The sequence below is a fragment of the Homo sapiens genome, chromosome 3, assembly GCF_000001405.40.
Source record: "Homo sapiens chromosome 3, GRCh38.p14 Primary Assembly".
In the NCBI taxonomy this organism is placed as follows: domain Eukaryota; kingdom Metazoa; phylum Chordata; class Mammalia; order Primates; family Hominidae; genus Homo; species Homo sapiens.
The window spans coordinates 114091686-114111961 of record NC_000003.12 but is presented as its reverse complement, the minus strand read 5'-3'; the positions used below and the strand labels follow the sequence as shown (position 1 = coordinate 114111961).

General features: G+C 40.9%; 1 pseudogene, besides 1 other annotated feature; it reads left to right on the top strand.

Moving 5' to 3' along the window:
- Positions 542–1043: an enhancer, noted in NCBI's record as "NANOG hESC enhancer chr3:113829766-113830267 (GRCh37/hg19 assembly coordinates)". NCBI's record gives its function as "activates a minimal SCP1, AML or CMV promoter by ChIP-STARR-seq in primed H9 embryonic stem cells {active_cell/tissue: H9 hESC(primed)}" and the evidence as "EXISTENCE:reporter gene assay evidence [ECO:0000049][PMID:30033119]".
- Positions 8334–8715, top strand: H2BP3 (H2B histone pseudogene 3; annotated as a pseudogene).

Below are 20276 nucleotides of genomic sequence, written 5' to 3'. Positions count from 1 at the left end.
TAAAAATACAAAAATTAGCCAGGCGCAGTGGTATGTGTGTATAGTCCCAGCTACTCAGGAGGCTGAGGCAGGAGAATCACTTGAACCCGAGAGGCAGAGGTTGCAGTAAGCCAAGATTGCACCCTGCACTCCAGTCTGGGTGACAGAGCAAGACTGTCTCAAAACAAACAAACAAAGAAAAAATTGAAGGTTGTATATCCTTACGTCTCTTTCCTTTGGCTCCTTAATCTGAAAGTTGGCTGTCATTTTCACCATGTGCCCTAGGGAGCCAAGCTGAGTTTCATCTTCTGTTTCCATGGGAAATTCACTCACACAAAGCAATTAACAAGTTTTAGAAGAATTACACAAGATTTGAGCAGAGCAGGGAAGGGGGGTGTGGTAGATCACTGTCTTCCTGGTTTTGTTGCTCCTATACTTGCTTTTCACCATCTTTCTCTCAAATGTGGCCAGGGAGCTCCTAAGTCTTCTCCTATCTTTGAGGCTGAGACTCTGGGGATCTCTGTCCCTTTCCCTAGTGGGATAATATCAGTGTGCTCCTTCTGCGCAAATACAGTCTCTCTCTAAGAGAAATGTCAGTTACAACTACTTTTTGCACCTAGGAGAAGACAGAAGCAAAATGAACACTAAAAAAAAGTAAGCACTGCTGAACTTCTGTTGACATTACACAACCTTACTTCCTCAAAGAGCAGGTTGCTCCATGTTTGTGCTTCTCTTTACTCTAAGTAATGCAGCCTTTAGCGCTTTTTTGTAAAGCTCAGCTTTAGCCTCCTTTATTCTGTTCTTGAAGGTTCATGATAGTCTTTTGTGTTCAAGCTTATCTATAATCCCCTCCCTTTGCTTTCTGTTCATGTCCTTTTCAAAGCCTGAGCTCTGCAGAGAGCTCCCTGTATAACCACCTCCTTCTTTAGCTGTCTCCCCCTTTATCACTGGAATTATTTCCTATTATATTATAATCAGGATTTTATTGTTTAAATCTCCCACCTCTCCCAAGTCATGTTCTTTTAAAGTCTCACATTGCAGAATCACACCTGTGGTAACTACTCTTTTGAAGTGAAGAGTTAATTTGTGATGCAAATAATTACTTCTTTATCTCATTTTCAAAGAGGAATTTTCATAAACTAGGAGCAAATTGTTTCACACCTTTTCCTCCTTTGTCACTTACTCTCCTTCCCCCTTCACTTTCCTTCTGTCCTTTTCCCCTCTGCTTGTTTCCTGCCTCCTTCCAGAATTGGTGTAAACCCCCTGGGTTTCTCTCCCAGGCTCTGCTTTTGTTGAACTGAAATACTTTCTGTTCATGTATTGGAGTGAACCTTTATCATACCAGGCATACTCACCCACCCGCTGCCTCAAGGAAATCTGGTGAGTGAAGGCAAGTGAAGAAAGCACTTTCATAGGGAATTGCCTGTGTCCGTAACCCCTGGCAGCCGGGCTTTTCCGTTTCCTAACTGTCCTGCTTCTATCGCCTTCAATTAAAGTCTACCTTTTTCAGCTGACAAACTCTAAGGAGTAAATGTCTCTATGCCTCTGCTTCCTCAGGAGTAAAATGAGGGCAATTCTCTCTGTCCTGTCTACTTCACAGAACTATTGGGGAAAAAATTAATGTGCAAAGAAATATACATTGGAAAGCATGATTCATATGTAAAAGGATATTCACTGTGTATGCTTAATCATAGGTATGCTGCCTAAAAAATCAAGGACAGGATTTTTGAACATAAAACTGGGCAGGAATGAATTAACTTTAGGGAGGATTTTGAGCTGGGAACTCTGAGTTTTTTAAATCAAAAATTGTCCTATTCCCACCCAAACAAAGAGAAAGGAAAGGCCAAGGAAATGGGTTTTCGAGAGACAGAAATATCACTGTCTTCTTAACTGATTTGTTTCACTTTTGAAAATATAATAAAGACAAAGACATCTGGGAGACCAAGATGGAGGGCGTGGAGACAAGGGCGGGGCTTGCTCAAGAGTTGCAGAGGAAGGTAAAATGAGGACGCAAAGGTTCTGTAGGATAAGCAAAGTTGTTCTATGTGGAGTAGACATAGAAGGGAAGTTTAAAAAATGCCTTATCAGATAAAAATAAATTAAATTGTGCTTTAGGAAAAGAGAGAGAAAAGCTGTGAGATACTTGTTAGAAAGAAACGATTCAATGAGAAGCTAAAAAGAGGAGTAAATCCTTTCAATCAAGAAGAAAACAAAAGCTTGCCTGGTAATCCCACCTCACTGTCTTTCCACTCACAATTATCGCCACGCCCTGAGGAATTGGAAGAGAAATTTCAAAGTTCTTGAAGTATTTGCTTAATAATGTCAATTGATGAGCAACGTCATGGGGATAGAAACCAGAACACGAGTTTTAATTCATGTTAGGGGGAAAAAAAAAAAGAAAAGCCATAGGGAGAACAAATAAATAGCTGGCTTTTGTTGTGCTTCCCTGGTGATTACACAGGTTTGACCAAACTAACTCCCAAAGGGGAGATAGAGAACTAAGAGAGAATTGGAGTACTCACTGGGCAGAAACCCTAAGTTCTGCAACACTAGATGTGGTCCATGAGATAAAAAATGTCAGCTTCCTGGAAGATCATCTCACTTTTGAAAATATTATAAAATATATCAAAAGCTCAGAATACTTAAAAGAATACCTGTATCTAATAGCTTTATCAAACATTAACATTTGGTCATTTCAAATCTTTTAAAAGAAGGGATACTTTACAAATATATGTAAACTCCTATAACATTTTCCTCCTCCCATGCCCATAAGAAATCCCTTTCTGGCATTAAATGTTTACCCCTTTTTTTTTTTTTAAGATGGAGTCTCACTCTGTTGCCCAGGCTGGAGTGCAGTGGCATGATCTTGGCTCACAGCAACCTCTGCCACCAGGGTTCAAGCGATTCTCCTGCCTCAGCCTCCTGAGTAGCTGGGATTACAGGCACCTGCCACCGCGCCCAGCCAATTTTTGTAGTTTTTTTTGTTTTTTTGTTTTTTTGTTTTTTTGTTTTTTCAGTAGAGATGGCATTTCACTATGTTGGTCAGGCTGGTCTCAAACTCCTGATTTCATGATCCACCTGCCTTGGCCTCCCAAAGTGCTGGGATTACAGGTGTGAGCCACTGCGCCCGGCCAAATGTTTACCCCTTTTCATCGTACTTTATGTTTTGTTACATACACATGTATCTCTATAATATTGGATTTCATGCTTTTAAACTTTATATTAAGCACTATTCTTTTTTATGTGAAACTTGCTTTTATCACATAAATTGATATACGTAAGTGTAGTTCATTTATTTATTTTATTTGCTACACAACCATAGTATTTTCCTGTGATATTCATTTACTTTGTTATCAAATCTTTATTGTTTTGAAAAGCTACAATGAATATTTTTGCATAAGTATCCTTGAGCATGTGTGCTGAACATTCTGTAGAACAGGGGTCCCCAGTCCCTCGGCCACGGACCCCTACTGGTCCATGGCCTGTTAGGAATGGGTCTGCACAGCAGGAGGTGAGCAGCAGGCTAGTAAGCATTACTGCCTATCAGATCAGCAAAGGTATTAGATTCTCATAGGAGCACCAACCCTATTGTGAACTGTGCACATGGGGGTGGATCCCTCATGAATGGCTTAGTGCCAAACCCTTGGTGATCAGTGAGTTCCCCTCTCTGAGTTCTGGTTGTTTAAAAGAGTGTGGTACTTCCCCCCATCTCTCTCTGGAGAGGGAGAATCGCTCTGTCACCCAGGTTGCAGTGCAGTGGCGCGATCTCAGCTCACTGCAACCTCTGCCTCCTGCTCAAGCGATTCTCCCGCCTCAGCCACCCAAGCAGGTGGGATTACAAGCGTGCGCCGTCACACCTGGCTAATTTTTGTATTTAGTAGAGACCGGGTTTCATCATGTTGGACAGGCTGGTCTGGAACTCCAGGCCTCAAGTGATCCGCCCTCCTTGGCCTCCCAAAGTGTTGGGATTACAGGCGTAAGCCACCGTGCTGGGCTGTCCCCCCATCTCTCTTGCTCCCTCTCTCACCATATGATGCACTGACTCTGCCTTTACCTTCTTCCATGATTGAAAGATTCCTGAGGCTGTCCCCAGAAGCAGATGCTGGCACCACACTTCTTGTACAGCCTGCGGAAACATGAGCCAAATAAAATCTCTTTTATAAAAAAAAAATTACCCAATCTCAGGTATTCCTTTATAGCAACACGAAAATGGACTAATGCATTCTCCAAAGCAGTTGCATTAATTTACTTTCCCATTCCCAGTATATGAAAGTTCCCATTTATCCACATTGTATTCAATCTTTTAAATTAACTACTTAATTTGCTAATCTAAAGGGTATGATTTGTTCCTAAACACTTTACAGTTTTATTGCCATTGTTGATGATATACCATTATCTATTACAGTTGCAATTTGCTTATTACTGGTATATAGAAATACAATTTTTTTATATTGATCTTGGATCTAGCAGCATTCAATGACTTTCTGATTAACTCATGTAGATTCTCTTAGATTTCCTATGTAGTCAAATATGTTGACTGCAAATAAGGTCTGCTTTGGAATGTCTTTGTAAGTTTTATACCTTCCATTATTTCTCATCTTATTGCATTGTCTCGTAGGTCCAGTAGAATGTAGAATGGTTGTGACAATATAGTGTAATAAAGTTTCATCATTAATGTTTGTAAGATTTTGATAGATACTTTTTGTGCAGTTAAGAGTATTGTCTTCTATCCATAGGTGCTAAGAGTTTGGTTGGTTGTTTCTACATAAATTGAAAAGCCTTACCCATGCTTCCATCTTAAAGTCTATATTCCTAACATTCTTCCCCCAGATATCAGCATGCCTGGCTTTCTTCCTTCACCTCTTCTACTCAAATGTCATCTATAAAAGGAACACTTTATATAATAGCAACTTGCTCCTCCTAACACTAATTCTGCTAATTTTTCCCCTTAAATGAGTAAGTATGAGAATGCATAAGGTTTATCAAACGTGCTTTCTATTTTCTGTATCTATTACATTGACCATATTTTTTCCTCTTAATTGATTGTATGTTATTCTTAGGATCAATTAATCTTGGCCATGGGGTGAGGGGGAAATATATATATATAAATAATGTATGTATATATATATAATATACATATGTATACACACACACAACATTTTATTTAGAATGTTTAAATCTGTATTTATGAGAAATACTGGTCTTTTTTTAATAGCTTTGTTACAAAAGTATAATAACCTCATAAAATGAATTGAGTGCTTTTCCTCACTATTTTTCTTTTTCTTTTTTTTTTTTATTATACTTTAAGTTCTAGGGTACATGTGCACAATATGCAGGTTTGTTACGTATGTATACATGTGCCATGTTGGTGTGCTGCACCCATTAACTCGTCATTTACATTAGGTATATCTCCTAATCCTATCCCTCCCCGCTCCCCTCACCCCACAACAGGCCCCGGTGTGTGATGTTCCCCTTCCTGTGTCCACGTGTTCTCATTGTTCAATTTCCACCTATGAGTGAGAACACCCTCACTATTTTTTGAAAGGTAGAGATTATCTGTTTGTTGAAGGTTTGTTAAATTATTCTATAAAAATCAACTGGGACTTCTGTCTTAAGGTCAGGGGCAGTGGGCAAAGCACTATGGGGTGAAGCACTTTCTCCTAATGGGACTTTGACTTTGTACTAAGAAAAGAATGGTCAGCCTAGGAACTTCTGCTGCTACCTCACTGTCCAGAACTGGTCACATGACTATCTTTGTTGCAAGAGAGGCTGAGAAATTAAGTATTTTTAGTTAGGCACATTGTCTTCCTGAAAAGAAAAATCAAGATTCTGCTATTAAGGATGACGAAAAAGCAATGGCAACTGGGTAGGCAGCCACCAATGCCTTCTACAATAAAACTATTAGATATGCTGGAATGTTGGGACCTTTCAATCTATCCTTCATGTATCTTAACTGAAGTAAATAGATAAATAAACAAATACACATCTATGTATTCAGAATAAATACACACAAACACACACACACACCTTTGTCTCTCTGGGGTATATTTTGGGTGAATTTCTCAATACTCTCTTCATCTTTCTAATTCAGTCTTCAATTTTATATAGATTAGAGTTTGTTTCATCATTATGAGTTAAATTCTATCCCCTCTCCTAAAAAAATATCTTGAAGCCCTAACCCCCAATACCTCAGAATATGGCATTATTTGGAGACAGAGGTTATCAAGTTAAAATGAGGTCATTAGAGTAGGCATTAATATAATCTGACTGGTGTTCTTATAAAAAGGGGAAGTTTGCAGACAGACACACATGCACACACAGAGACAGAGAAAGAGAGAAGAGAGAGAATGCCACAAGAAGATGAGGGCAGAGATCAGTGTGAAATGTGCATGGTGGTGCGTGCCTGTAGTCCCAGCTACTAGGGAGGCTGAGGCAGGAGAATGGCGTGAACCCAGGAGGCAGAGGTTGCAGTGAGCCAAGATCGTGCCACTGCACTCCAGCCTGGTGACAGAGGGAGACTCTGTCTCAAAAAAAAAAAAAAAAAAAAAAATCATATTAGTGTCCTAAAAACCTTTTATCCTATATTTTTACTGTACCTTTTAAAATGCTACACCTGTTTAGGGCACTTACTATGAATGGAGTTTGCAGGACTGGAAGTTGCTGTTAGTCAATGAGTGAATGATAAATGAATATGAAGGCCTAGGACACTACTGTATACTACTGTAGACTGTAGGCTGTGGACTTTATAAACACTGCACATTTAGGCTACACTAAATTTACAAAAACATTTTTATGTTTATGTCTTCAATGATAAGTTAACCTTAGCTTACTGATACTTTTTAACACATTGGACAGCTGGACAAAAATATTTTCTTTCTTTATATACTTATTCTATAAGCTTTTTTCTATTTAAATTTTTTTTAGTTTAGTTATTACTTGTTAAATCTTTTTTGTTAAAAACTAAGACACAAACACATACATTAGCCTTGGCCTACACAGGGTCAGGATCATCCATATCACTGTCTTTCCCCTCCACAGCTTGTCCCACTGGAAGGTCTTCAGGGGCAATTACATGCATGGAGCTGTCATCTCATGTGATAACAGTGCCTTCTTCTGAAATACCTCCTGAAGGACTTGCCTGAGGCTGTTTTACAGTTAACACTTTTTTTATCAGTCAAATTAGCACACTCTAAAATAACAAAAAGTATAGTACAGTCAATACATAAATCAGTAACATAGTCATTTATAATCGTTATCAAGTATTATGTACTGTTCATATTGCATGTGCTATACTTTTATATGACTAGCAGTGCAGTAGGTTTGTTTACACTAGCATCACCACAAACACATGAGTAATGAGTAATGTGTTGTACTAGAATGTTATGATAGCTATGACATAACTAGGCAATAGGAATTTTTCAGCTCCATTATAATCTTATGAGACCACTGCCATATACGCAGTCTGTCATTGACTGAAACATTGTTATGCAGTGCATGCGTGTACTAAAACTCTGCTGTTGTAGTGCAAAAGCAGCCATAGACAATATGTAAAAGAATGAAAGTAGCTGTGTTCTGGCCAGATGTAGAGGCTCATGTCTGTAATCTCAGCACTTTGGAAGGCCGAGGTGGGCGGATCACCTGAAGTTGGGAGTTCGAGATCAGCCCAGCCAACATTGTGAAACCCCGTCTCCATTAAAAATACGAAAATTATCCAGGTGTGGTGGCACACACCTGTAATTCCAGCTACTCGGGAGGCTGAGGCACGAGAATCACTTGAACTGGGAAGGCAGAGGTTGCAGTGAGCCGAGATCATGCCATTGCACTCTAGCCTGGGCAACAGAAAGAAACTCTGTCTCAAAAAAAAAAAAAAAAAAAAAAAGTATGTAACTGTGTTCCAATAAAACTTTATTTACCAAAACAGGCAGAGGGCTGGATTTGGGCTGGGGTGCATAGTTTGCCCGCCTCTGCCTAGGAAGATAGTCAAGGCCATTTTTCCCAACCTCCTCTAACAAGTCAGGGAGTCACACTCTAGTCCCTGGCTCTGGTTCCCTATCTGTCATAGAATACATTTTGTCTTCTTTAAGGGATATGAAGTGTCAGATGCCACTGCCTGCTCCCAGACCCAGAGCCCAGGAGATCTGTGGCTGCAGCCCCATGCGCTACTTTGCATTTGTTTATTGAAGTCCTAATATGTACTAGGCATTGTGCTGGGTCCCAGAGACATAATAATGAATGATGCAAATATGGTCCTAATCTCACGAAACTTACAGTTTGGTAGTAAAGACAAACATTAAATTAATTCCCGTTTTCTCGAGCTGCTGTTAGTTCACCTCGACCTGTAGTGCGCCCTCGACATGCCAGAGCCAACAAAGTCCGCTCCTGATCCCAATTAGGGCTCCAAGAGGTGGGTGACTACGGCGCAGAAGAAGGACGGCAAGAAACCAAGCGCAGCCGCAAGGCGAGCTACTCCGTGTACTTGCACAAGGTGCTGAAGCAGGTCCACTCTGACACCGGCATCTCCTCTAAGGCCATGGGGATCATGAACTCCTTCGTCAACGACATCTTTGAGCACGTCGCGGGCGAGGCTTCCCGCCTGGCGCATTACAACAAGCGCTCGACCATCACCTCCAGGGAGATCCAGACGGCCGAGCGCCTGCTGCTGCCCGAGGAGGTGGCCAAGCACGCCGTGTCCGAGGGCACCAAGGCCATCACCAAGTATACCAGCGCTAAGTAAACTTGCCAAGGCGGGACTTTCTCTGGAATTTCCTGATCTGACAAAAAAAAGCTTCTTACCAAAAGAAGCACAATGGCCTTCTGTTACCCCATTATCTACTGCAGAGACTGAAGAATGCAACCACACCTGGATGGACTCTTCCACAAGATAAAGCTGGCCTCTTGGTCTCATTCAGATTCCAAAGAGAATCATTTACAAGTTAATTTCTGTCTCTCTGGTCCATTCCTTCTCCCTAATAATCATTTACTGTTCCTCAAAGAATTGTCTACATTACCCATCTCCTCTTTTGCCTCTGAGAAAGGATATATAATCTTCTGTAACCCACTGAGGGGTTGGGGTAATCATTCTGTGGTCCCCAGCCCTGTATATTAATAAATTTGTATGCCTTTTCTCTTAAAAAAAAAAAAAAGACAAACATTAAATAAATATGCACACACATAAGTGTATAACTATGATTACAAATTGGGTCAATATTAAACAAGGAGGCTTTTATGAGAAAAAAATAACAGGAAACACTAAGTTACTGTAGATTGAAGAGCCAGGGAAGATCACTCTGAGAAAGTAAGAAACAAATCTGAGGAAGTAAAAGAGGCCTCTAGGATAGAAATGAGATTTCCTTGAAATTAGTCTGGGGAATATTGTTCCATGCAAAGCAGAGAATATGTATGAAGCTTCCAAGAAGGGAAAAAAGTATGTTAGTTCGAGCTTTTAATGAAAGTCTGAAGGCTAGTGAGTTTAGAGCTGTTGTCCAATACAGTGGCCATTGGCCACATATGGTTATTCAAATCTAGATTTAATTAATTAAAATTAAAATCTGCTCCTCAGTTGCTCTAGACACATTTTAAGTACTCAGTAGTTACATATGGCTACTATATTGAACAGTGCACATGTGGAACATTTCCTTCATCACAGAAAGTTCTGTTGGAGAGCATTAGTCCAAAGCATATATAGAGATCTATAGTATATTTGAAATAATATTCATATGGAATTTTCATTAAATGGAAAATTATAAATGGAAGGCTTTTAAGTATCAGTATACAAACCAGGAAATAGAATGATATCAAATATATTAAAAATAAATGTTCAATCATTGGATTTAAAGTTGATGATGTACTTAACATGGATGTATCCAGCTGTAATACCTGGACCACTGATCAATCTTAGCACAAAAAAGATGGCCCACCATTGTGTACTTCCAGATGGAATAACACATCATCACCTATGAAACAGTCTTGCAAAAAAAATCAAACCTGAACCTGCTCAATCCTTTAGATTAGCACTATCCAACAGAAATATAATGCAAACCACATGTATAATTTTAAGTTTTCTACTAGCCTCATTAAAAAAGTAAAAATGAATAGGTGAAAACAATTTTAACATATTTTTATTGAATCTAACATATTCAAAAATCATTGAAATTATGATTGAAGCATTGAAATTACAATTGATTGATTGATTATAATCAATGTAAAAATAATTAATATTTTATATCTTTTTCTGTTAAGTTTTGGAAATGTGTTGTATTTTTACATTATCAGCACATCACAATTGAGACTAGTTGCAATTCAAGCACTGAGTAGCCATATGGATGCTGATTCAAACAAACTAACAGAAAAAAATTATGAGATGATGGAGGAAACGTGAATACCATCAGAATATTTGGTTATAGTGAGAGCTTATTATTTCTTTTCAGGTATAATAACAGTACTGTGTTTAAGTTTTTAAAGAGAGCCCTTATCTTTTAGATGCATATTGAAATATTTATGAATGAGATTATATAACATCTAGGATTTGCATCAAAATAATCCAGTGATGTCTGTATGGGGAGTGAATAAGAATGCAGAAGACACAAGATTGGCTATGAGCTGATTGGTTGAAACTAAGAAAATGACACCAGCTTTCTGTTTAATGTTACTGTTGAAGAATAGAGAGGGTCTTGTTCATTGAACCCACTACAAATGAGATAATGGAATTAGGATTAGCTGTTATTACTGTCAATCACTTCTGACCCAAGGGGAGGTTATAACAATGGCTAGAATGCTTCCTCTGACTGTGAAGCAGACGTCCAATTGTGGATGATATTTCTGCCACCCTACTGCTGAGGAAAAAAAAAAAAAAAGATTGTGGCTCTAAATCTACTCTGTTATATGAAAAAAATGAAGAAATTTCAGCTACTCTCAGGGAAGAAAATAAATGTTTCCAACCCAGCTTGAATCAGAGTGTTCCTAGGGGAGAAGCTAGTATGGTGGAGATGGCGCTAACCCAAATATGAAACCTCCCAATGGGAAGTTAACACTCAGAGTGAGAAGACTGAGCTACTGTGATCAGTTAACCATTCCCTCATGGAATATCACTTTCTTTCTGGTACTAAACTTTGGAAGTCTGCATTTTGTTTTATCAGAGAAGGCAATGATCCTTTCTTTTGTATTACTCCCATAGACTAGTCAGTCAGCGAATTGTGAATAATGGGATGAATGATGGAAAGATAATCAGAGAGGAAAAAGGGCACTGTGGGAAGAACATGGTCAGATCTGGGAGGAATTTTCAGGCCATTTTATTAGTGGCCTGGAATTTTATTCCCTTGGTAAAGCAAAGCTCTATGCATCTTTTTTATTGAGAGCCAGGGTCTCACTCAGTAGCCCAGACTGGAGTACAGTGGCGTGATTATAGCTCACTGTAGCCTTGAATTCCTGGGTTCAAGCAATTCTCCCACCTCAGCCTCCTGAGTAGGTAGGGCTACAAGCATGAGCCTATTTTTTTGTATGGTAGCTGCACTACAAGCATCCAGCTATTTTTTGGGGTGGGGGATGGTAGAAATGGTGTCTTACTTTGTTGCTCAGACTGGTATCAAACTCCTGGTCTCAGGAGATTCTCTGCTTCAGCCTCTCAAAGCTCTGGGATTATAGGCATTGCACCCTATATATTGTGTTTTAAAGTACCAATTCAACTGTTTTTTTTTATTGTCCCCATAAGTACAGTAGATTCATATTTATCAACCAGAATATTCTTATTTTAGTTGAGAAAACAAGGTGAGAAAGACTTTCACCTTTTCATACCATAGTTCTTTGTATATTCCACTAGCAAAGTGATTATTATGCTGTTTTGTAATGAAGTATTTATTTCATCCACTAAGCTGTGATTTCAAAAGCAAAAACCTTGACATTTTCACCTTTGAATCTCCACCATCCAAAAAATGTGGGGCATAGTAAGAGGCAATACATGTTGAATGAATAGACTATCCATTCAACAAATATTGAGCATCCAAATTGGTGAACAGTACAAAATGGCAACTTTGAAAATCTCCAAATGAACATGTCAAATGTGGCTTCTTAGCTAGGATCTTATCACTGACTTCAAAATCACATTTTAAAAAAAAACTCCAGTAAGTTAAGCCTGACCTCCTCATAAAACATGGCTTTTTTTTTAATTTAAAAAAAATTAATAGAGACAAGGTCTTGCTATGTTGCCCAGGCTGGCCTTGAACTTCTGGGCTCAAGCAATCCTCCTGCCTTGGCCTCCCAAAGTGCTGGGATTGCAAGCATGAACCACCATACCTGGCCTCAATTGATTTTTGAGACAGAGTCTTGCTCTGTCACTCTGGCTAGAATGCAATAGTGTGATCATGCTCACTGCAGCCTCCAACTTCTAAGCTCAAGCAATCTTCCCAATTCAGCCTCCCAAGTAGCTGGGACTAGAGGTGCATGCCACATCACCAGGCTAATTTTTAAATTTTTTGTATATATGTGGTTTATCTTTGTTGCCCAGGCTGGTCTCAAACTCCTGGCCTCAAGAGATCCTCCTGCCTCAGCCTTTGCTAAAGTGCTGGGATTACAGGTGTGAGTCACTGCATCCAGCTGAGACATGGATTTAAATGACTTTGTTATTTTCTAAAATTTAAAGCATATATACAATGCTATCATTAGAAATACTCAACCGAATGTACTGCCCAGTCTGAGTTCCTTTCCTGAACTCTATTTCCAAATGTTGCTCCAAAAAGGTTTTTAGTAAATGGGATGTCATTAGGAAAGGTCTCTACTCCCCTGATTATCTTCTTAGATGTCAAGATTAAATCACTTTTCCCAAAATTGTGTTAATAAAATCAGGACATGGCTGGGTGCAGTGGCTCTATTATGCCTGTAATCCCAGTATTTTGGGAGGCTGAGGTGGGTGGATCACTTGAGGTCAGGAGTTCGAAACCAGCCTGGCCAACATGGCAAAACCCCCACCTCTACTAAAAATATAATAACTAGCTGGGCGTGGTGGCATGCACGTGTAGACCCAGCTACCAGGGAGGTCGAGGTGGGAGAATCACTTGAACCTGGGAGACAGAGTTTATAGTGTGCTGAGATTGCACCACTGTACTCCAGCCTGGGCAACAGAACAAGACTGTCTCAAAAAAATAAAATAAAATAAATAAATAAACAAAATCAGGACATGACTTTGTAGAAACACATTTATTAAGAGTGAGGAGGTTATATTGTTTTTATATTCATTGCAGTGTCTTACCCTGGCCCCCAGGCGACAGTGAGTGAGAAGGGAAGGAGAACAGAAATAATAGCACAGGCTCTTCAAGCAGATATTCCTGAAGTCAAAGTGATTTTATTTTATTCATTTTGTTATTTTATCAGGCAGCCTCTTGAGCCAGAGTAGGCGCTGAAACTCCCTATTTTTACTATTATTATTATTATTTTTTTTAATGGAGACATGGTCTCCCCATACTGCCTGGGCTGGTCTCAAACTCCTGGCTATGAGCCACTGTGCCCAGCCCAGAATTATTTAAAACAGTTACTTGACTGTTTCAGCCCTGTTTCCTCAAATATAAAATGGGAACAATCATACTTCTAGGGTGCTTACAGATTTGTTGGGAACCTTAAGATGCAGAACACTCAGGGCGGGGTGCAGTGGCTCACGCCTGTAGTGCCAGCACTTTGGGAGGCTGAGGCAGGTGGATCACTTGAGCTCAGGAGTTCAAAATCAGCCTGGGCAACATGGCAAAACCCCATCTTGTGGTGGCGCATGCCTGTAGTCCCAGCTCCTGGGAAGGTTGGGGCAGGAGGATTACCTTGAGCCCGGGAGATGGAGGTTGCAGTGAGCCAAGATCATTCCACTGCACTCCATTGTGGGCAACAGAGCAAAAACCTGTCTCAAAAAAGAAGAGAAAGAGAGGCCAGGCGTGGTGGCTCACTCCTGTAATCCCAGCACTCTGGGAGGCCGAGGTGGGCAGATCACCTGAGGTCAGGAGTTCAAGACCAGCCTGACCAACATGGAGAAACCCCATCTCTACTAAAAATACAAAAAAAAAAAAATTAGCCAGGTGTGATGGCGCATGCTACTCGGGAGGCTGAGGCAGGAGAATTGCTTGAACCTGGGAGGCGGAGGTTGCGGTGAGCCGAGATCATGCCATTGCACTCCAGCCTGGGCAACAAGAGCAAAACTCTGTCTCAAAAGAAAAGAAAAGAAAAGAAAGAGAGAGAGGAAGGGAGGAAGGAAGGGAGGAAGGAAGGGAGGGAGGGAAGGAAAAAGAACACTCAAACAGAATTAATGTTGAGCTAATCAAGGCAGCTAAGAGGCAAATTCAACTCATTAATTTGGTCTGTAGTTCTTTCCTTAATAATGAGTAGATAATGAAATGTAAACCACTAACATTTTGATTTTCTTTACCCATAGATACTGTCATGTGGTGATTTTCCACCTTCTGTCATCTCTTAGTGAAACAGCCTTTGCAAAATTATGACAGTGGGAGAATTATGACAGTGCAAGATATCTGACCTAACTGACTCCATCTTGCTTCTAACCACCAAGCTGCCCCTGTTCATTCTTGGGCATGAGGCTGAACTAACTTTGGGAGAAACTTAGTTTATAGTTTAACTTTAAAACAAAGATAATAACAGCCCTTTCCCAAAACAAACCCTCTTCTCGCTTGGGGACCAGGCTGCCTTTGTAAGACTAACTAGCCACAAGATTAGAAATTATGGTTTAGGAGTCATGCGGCTAGACACCACAAGATTCTAAACCTCCCCAGTTGCTCCTAGGGATAACATCACTATCATAAAACGTAAGACTGGTGCTCATGATATTTTGCAGACCTTGTGCTCTGATGCACCAACTGGTGCCACCCAGACCAGTAATCTGGCTCAACCAGCACTGCAATCCCACCTAGGAGCAGGAGACAGTAAGACGAATCCACTTTGACCCCATATGATTTCATCTCTGACCCAACCAATCAGCGACCCCCACTCCCTGGTCCCCTACCTGCCAGATTATCCTTTAAAAACCCGAGTCTCCAAATTTTGGGGGAGACTGATTTGAGTAACAGAACTCTGGTCTCCATTTAGCAGGCTCTGCATGAATTAAACTCTTTCTCTATTCCAATTCCCCTGTCTTAAATCAGCTCTCTCTGGGCAGTGGGCAAGGAGAACCCATTGGGTGGTTACATTAGGTTGGACTTTGATTTGACAGACTACATGAGTAAAGTGAAGCTTTCTAACTCTATGTAGAATATACGTAATTTTGGAGTTTGCTCCTGGTCTATAAATTGCGAGAAGGCAAGTAGGGTTTTTGTCATTTAATCCAGTGTCTGGAGAGCACTTGACACTTAGTTGGCAGTGGATTAATCTTTCTTGACTAGGTGAATAAATGAATTCTAAGTATCAGAGAATTAGGATGGGGAAGACATACACAAATGAGCAAAATCCTTGGTACCAATATATTGGGAAGTCCCTGATTAAGATTGGGTTGTATGTGCTTATCGGCTGGGACAAATTCCATAGACTATCAAGGACCTGTGAGAAAAAGACAGGATCTCCTGATGAGGCCCTGGAAGATGCTCACTTCCTCCCCTCTTCTGATAAAAACCAGCAACCAACAAAAATTATTAAAGTATAATTATAGGAGGGGCATAGGCCAGGGAGGGAATTATAAATGGCATAATATATTGGAAAGGGCTTGGTCTATATATCTTTCTGAGCTGGGTTTGAGACATCTTTTTCCAAATTCCATTATATCCACAGTCATAATAACGAAGTCTCCTAAAATGTATCTACAAACAGAATGGTCTCTGTGTTCAAGAATCACTGTTATCCCAGCAGCCAGAAAGGCTATAGTCACTGTCAGAGTAGCAATAATAATGTCTGTACCACACCTAGTTTGTGAGGTACAAGTTACCAACGAGGCTGAATAGAGGCAGAACAAGAGATAAGGACTCAGAGAAGAATTGGGGTGGAAAAGGAAACCTAGACTCTAGTTCTAGCCTTGCCTCTCATTTCCTGTTGGACCTTGGGTTAGTCACACACTGTCTGGGCCTGGGTTCTGCCTCTGTCAAATGAAGGGGTTGGATAGATAATTTGTAACATTCCTTCTGGCTCTAAAATCATACACTATGTGTTACCAAAGAAGCTTCTTTCTGACAAAGAGAAAGACTAAGCTATTTTTTTCCCTTTCTACGATTTAAACGTCCTTTTGCTTTTCATTTATATGCGAATGTATGAGATTTTAACCAAAACAAAATTAGCATCTCTGGGTCACTCCTCAGCCCTCTTATCATTAAAATGTAGTTCAGATTTCTGAGACCACAAATAGAAAGAGGAATAGTTAATAAGTTATCCCAACTTACCAGTCCTTAATACCACGGAGTAATTATGGGGGTAGCCCAGAGGGCAAATAGGAGAGGTTCAGAGTACACAAAAGTTCAGTTTGGGATAGGCCTCCACCTATTTTTTTTTTTTTTTTTTTTTTGAGGCGGAGTCTCACTCTGTCGCCCAGGCTGGAGTGCAGTGGCGCAATCTTGGCTCACTGCAAGCTCCACCTCCCGGGTTCATGCCATTCTCCCGGCTCAGCCTCCAAAGTAGCTGGGACTACAGGCGCCCGCCACCACGCCCGGCTAATTTTGTTTTTGTATTTTTAGTAGAGATGGGGTTTCACCGTGTTAGCCAGGATGGTCTCGATCTCCTGACCTTGCGATCCGCCCGCTTCGGCCTCCCAAAGTGCTGGGATTACAGGCGTGAGCCACCGCGCCCAGCTGCCTCCACCTACTTTTGGTCGTTGTTCTTGAAGGAGAGCAGATGCTCTGCATAAGAAAAACACAATTTAGGAAGGTCCGGGGTAAAATGGGGAAAATCCTGGGCTTTTGAGTCATAGTGCTGAGTTCAGAGTTCAAATCCTGGATCCCTTGCTTTGTGTCTTTTTTTTTTTGAGACAGTCTTGCTCTGTTACTGAGGCTGGGGTTCATTGCTCACTGCAGCCTCAAACTCCTTGGCTCGAGTGATCGTCCCTCCTTGGTTTCCAGAGTAGCCAGGACTACAGGTGTGTACCACCATGCCCAGCTAGTTATTTTTTATTTTTTGTAGAGATAGGGGTCTTGCTTTGTTGCCCAGGCTTGTCTCACACTCCTGGCCCCAAGTGATCCTCCCACTTTGGCCTCTCAAAGTGCTGGAACTAAGGCATGAGCCATCACACCCAGCCCAATTTCTCCTCTGTAAATTGGAAAAGATAATGTCAACCTCAGAGGGTTGCCATGAGCAATAAAGAAGGTAATGGATGGATCACGAAGTCAGGAGATCGAGAGCATCGTGGTTAACACGGTGAAACCCTGTCTCTACTAAAAAAAAAAAAAATACAAAAAATTAGCCGGGCATGGTATCATGCACCTGTGGTTCCAGCTACTCGGGAGGCTGAGGCAGGAGAATCACTTGAATCTAGGAGGCGGAGGTTCCAGTGAGCCGGGAACACCACTGCACTCCAGCCTGGCAACAGAGCGAGACTCCATCTTAAAAAAATAAAAATAAAAATAAAAAAGAAGGTAATGGATAAGGCACAGACAGAATTGAACAAATTATAATGAAAAAAGAAACGGATAAAGTGATGTGTTAAAGATGGAGAAGTAGAGAACATACTACAGACACATGATGAGAAGAAAATTAATCACACATTCTCCCTTAATTTCAGTGGGGCAGGGGTGAGGGTGCAGACACGGCAAATGCTGAGGGATTATCTTTCCCTTACAGAGCTGATAGTCTGGTTGGAAGATGAGGCTCACAGAACTGAAGCACTGATTAAATCAGATGCCTAGAGCACTGGTTGCTGGTGCCTTTATGAACAAAGGAAATCAGAATAGAAGCCTCTCCTCTTCCAATCTTGAGACTCTAGAATTCTAGAAAAGCAAGTTTTTATGGAAGGTTTGGTTCTTGGGCTGGACCTTGAGAATGGGTAGGATTAGGATATAACCACTTAGGAAAAGTGGAAAAGTCCACGGCAATTGGTTAGGTTCAGATTATGGCGGCCCTAGAAATTCAGGCTGCCAGTTTAGCCTTGGTACAGCAGGAAGAGAGTGGAGTTGAGGAGGACAAGGAGGAGGTGAGGGGCAGGATGGGTGGTAATCTTCCTTGAGTCAGGCTTTAACTGCCTCCTCTGAGTCAGTCACCAAGTCTTGCTGATCCTCCTTGAAATGCCTTATACCCATCCCTTCTATGTATTACTTCATTCATCCAAGGAGTAAGGTTTCCAGCTGATTTGGCTGGAAGCCAGGTGCAAGGAAGTTGAAGTGCAGAACTAGTCTGACTGAAGGAAGATAGTAAATTTGGTTTTAGACACGTTGGATTTGTGGCAACAGGTGAATGTTTAGGTGGAAAAAATATAAAGTGGAACTGACTTTTTCAACATGACTGAACTTTCTACAAAAAACAATGTAAAACTGGAGAGTCTAACCAAAATCAGTTCAAGTGTAAAAAAGAAAAAATTGGACATACTTTGTCACTCTCTTGTCTTTTGAAGTGCAGTTACTATGTGGGAATGGAGTACATTTCCAGTTGGTATTTTCAGCTAGCATTGTGGGGGAACAATAAATAGAATTGTGATGGAAATGTTATTTAAGTTTTGTTGAACTAAAAAATAAATGAGTAGAAAATGGAAAATGCTGGAAAATGTGAGTAAATATTTTAGCTTTTTGGGGGTGTGGAAAACTCATATCCGTTATGTAATTGGATTCTGTGAATGGATTTATGACAAAAATAAATGATTCTGGGAGAGTTCAAAGAAAATATTTTAACTATTTGGAAGGAAAACAGAGCCTCGGAGGGGAGAACAGCTTCCCATCTGTCCATAAAAATTAGAGGAAAATTTCACCAGACCACTGAGCTTGCTATGGTCAGTCTCGAGGGCTAATCAACAAAGGAGAATTCTGAAGATGCACACACACCCTGTTTCTCAATTATTGGAGTATCCCTCACCTCCTCTCCTTTTGATTTCTCTCCCCTTACTTTTATGTCCTTCTTCTTGTGCCTTTTTGATAGCAACTCTAAAGCAGTGGTTATGAAATGGTTATACAACTTTTATTTGAGGCTGAAAGAGATGATTACGTGGTTTGGGAGGGAAAAGGAAAAGGACTGAATAAAAGGAAGTGACTGTAAGCTGTTAAGAAAGAGAAGACTGTTAATAGCAACATCTTGATGTTAAGAGACAAGCTGAAACCATCCAAGGCAGGCAGAGAACAAGGTGATAATAAGAGAAAATGTGTTTCGCAGACAAAGGAGCCGACAGCAGGCGAGAGCAGTTCAGGGAGAGAGGTGAGCATTAGGAATAGTGTGCGGAAAGGAGGCACGGATCCCTCTGAATCACACTGGGAAGCATCGGCCGTTTGAACTCCTTGGCAACTCCGACCTGATCTCAAAGTAGATTGTGAGGAATGAGAACAAAAGGAAAGTTCACTCTGAGTTCCTCTTGTCAGAGCAGGGGAAATTGCTTTGAGGCCAGCACTGAAAGATGATAATGGTACCAAGTAACAGAAAAAAAAAATCCGAAAAACCAAAAATGTGTCAGGTCACCGGGAGCTTGCCTAGCATAAAGTGACATAAAACCACCACTGACATTCTCATAGGTCCTACCACATAGTGTTGTGCAAGTCACTTCTAACCAGCACTCAGTTGGCCAAAATAAGGAAGAGAATGCCTCAACTACTCAGAATATTCGTTCACTTGACAAACAGTAATTGAGATTTCACGGTGTCATCCAGGACTATTGCTATTAATGCTGGAAGGTGCAATAGGAGCTCTTATCTTATGTCCTGTACCAGCTGGTCCTGTGAGGCCAGAAGGAACCACTGGAAAGTGAATACTGGGAAATCGATGCTGACCCTAGAAGGGCACAGGCCCGGCAGAAAATAGGTGGTGAGATTTAGGAGTGCCAAAATGCTAACTAGAAAGAACTGTGTGCATGTTTAAATTCCTTGTTATGGACTGAATGTTTGTGTCCCCACAAAATGTTTACGTTGAAGGCTGGGCGTGGTGGCTCAAGCCTGTAATCCCAGCACTTTGAGAGGCCTCAAGGCGGGTGGATCACGAGGTCAGGAGTTTGAGACCAGCCTGACCAACATGGTGAAACCCCGTCTCTATTAAGAATACAAAAATTAGCTGGACGAGGTGGCGGGCACCTGTAATCCCAGCTATTCAGGAGGCTGAGCCAGGAGAATCGCTTGAACCCAGGAGGCAGAGTTTGCAGTGAACTGAGATCGCGCCACTGCACTCCAGCCAGGGTAACAGAGTGAGACTCCATCTCAAAAAAAAAAAAAGTT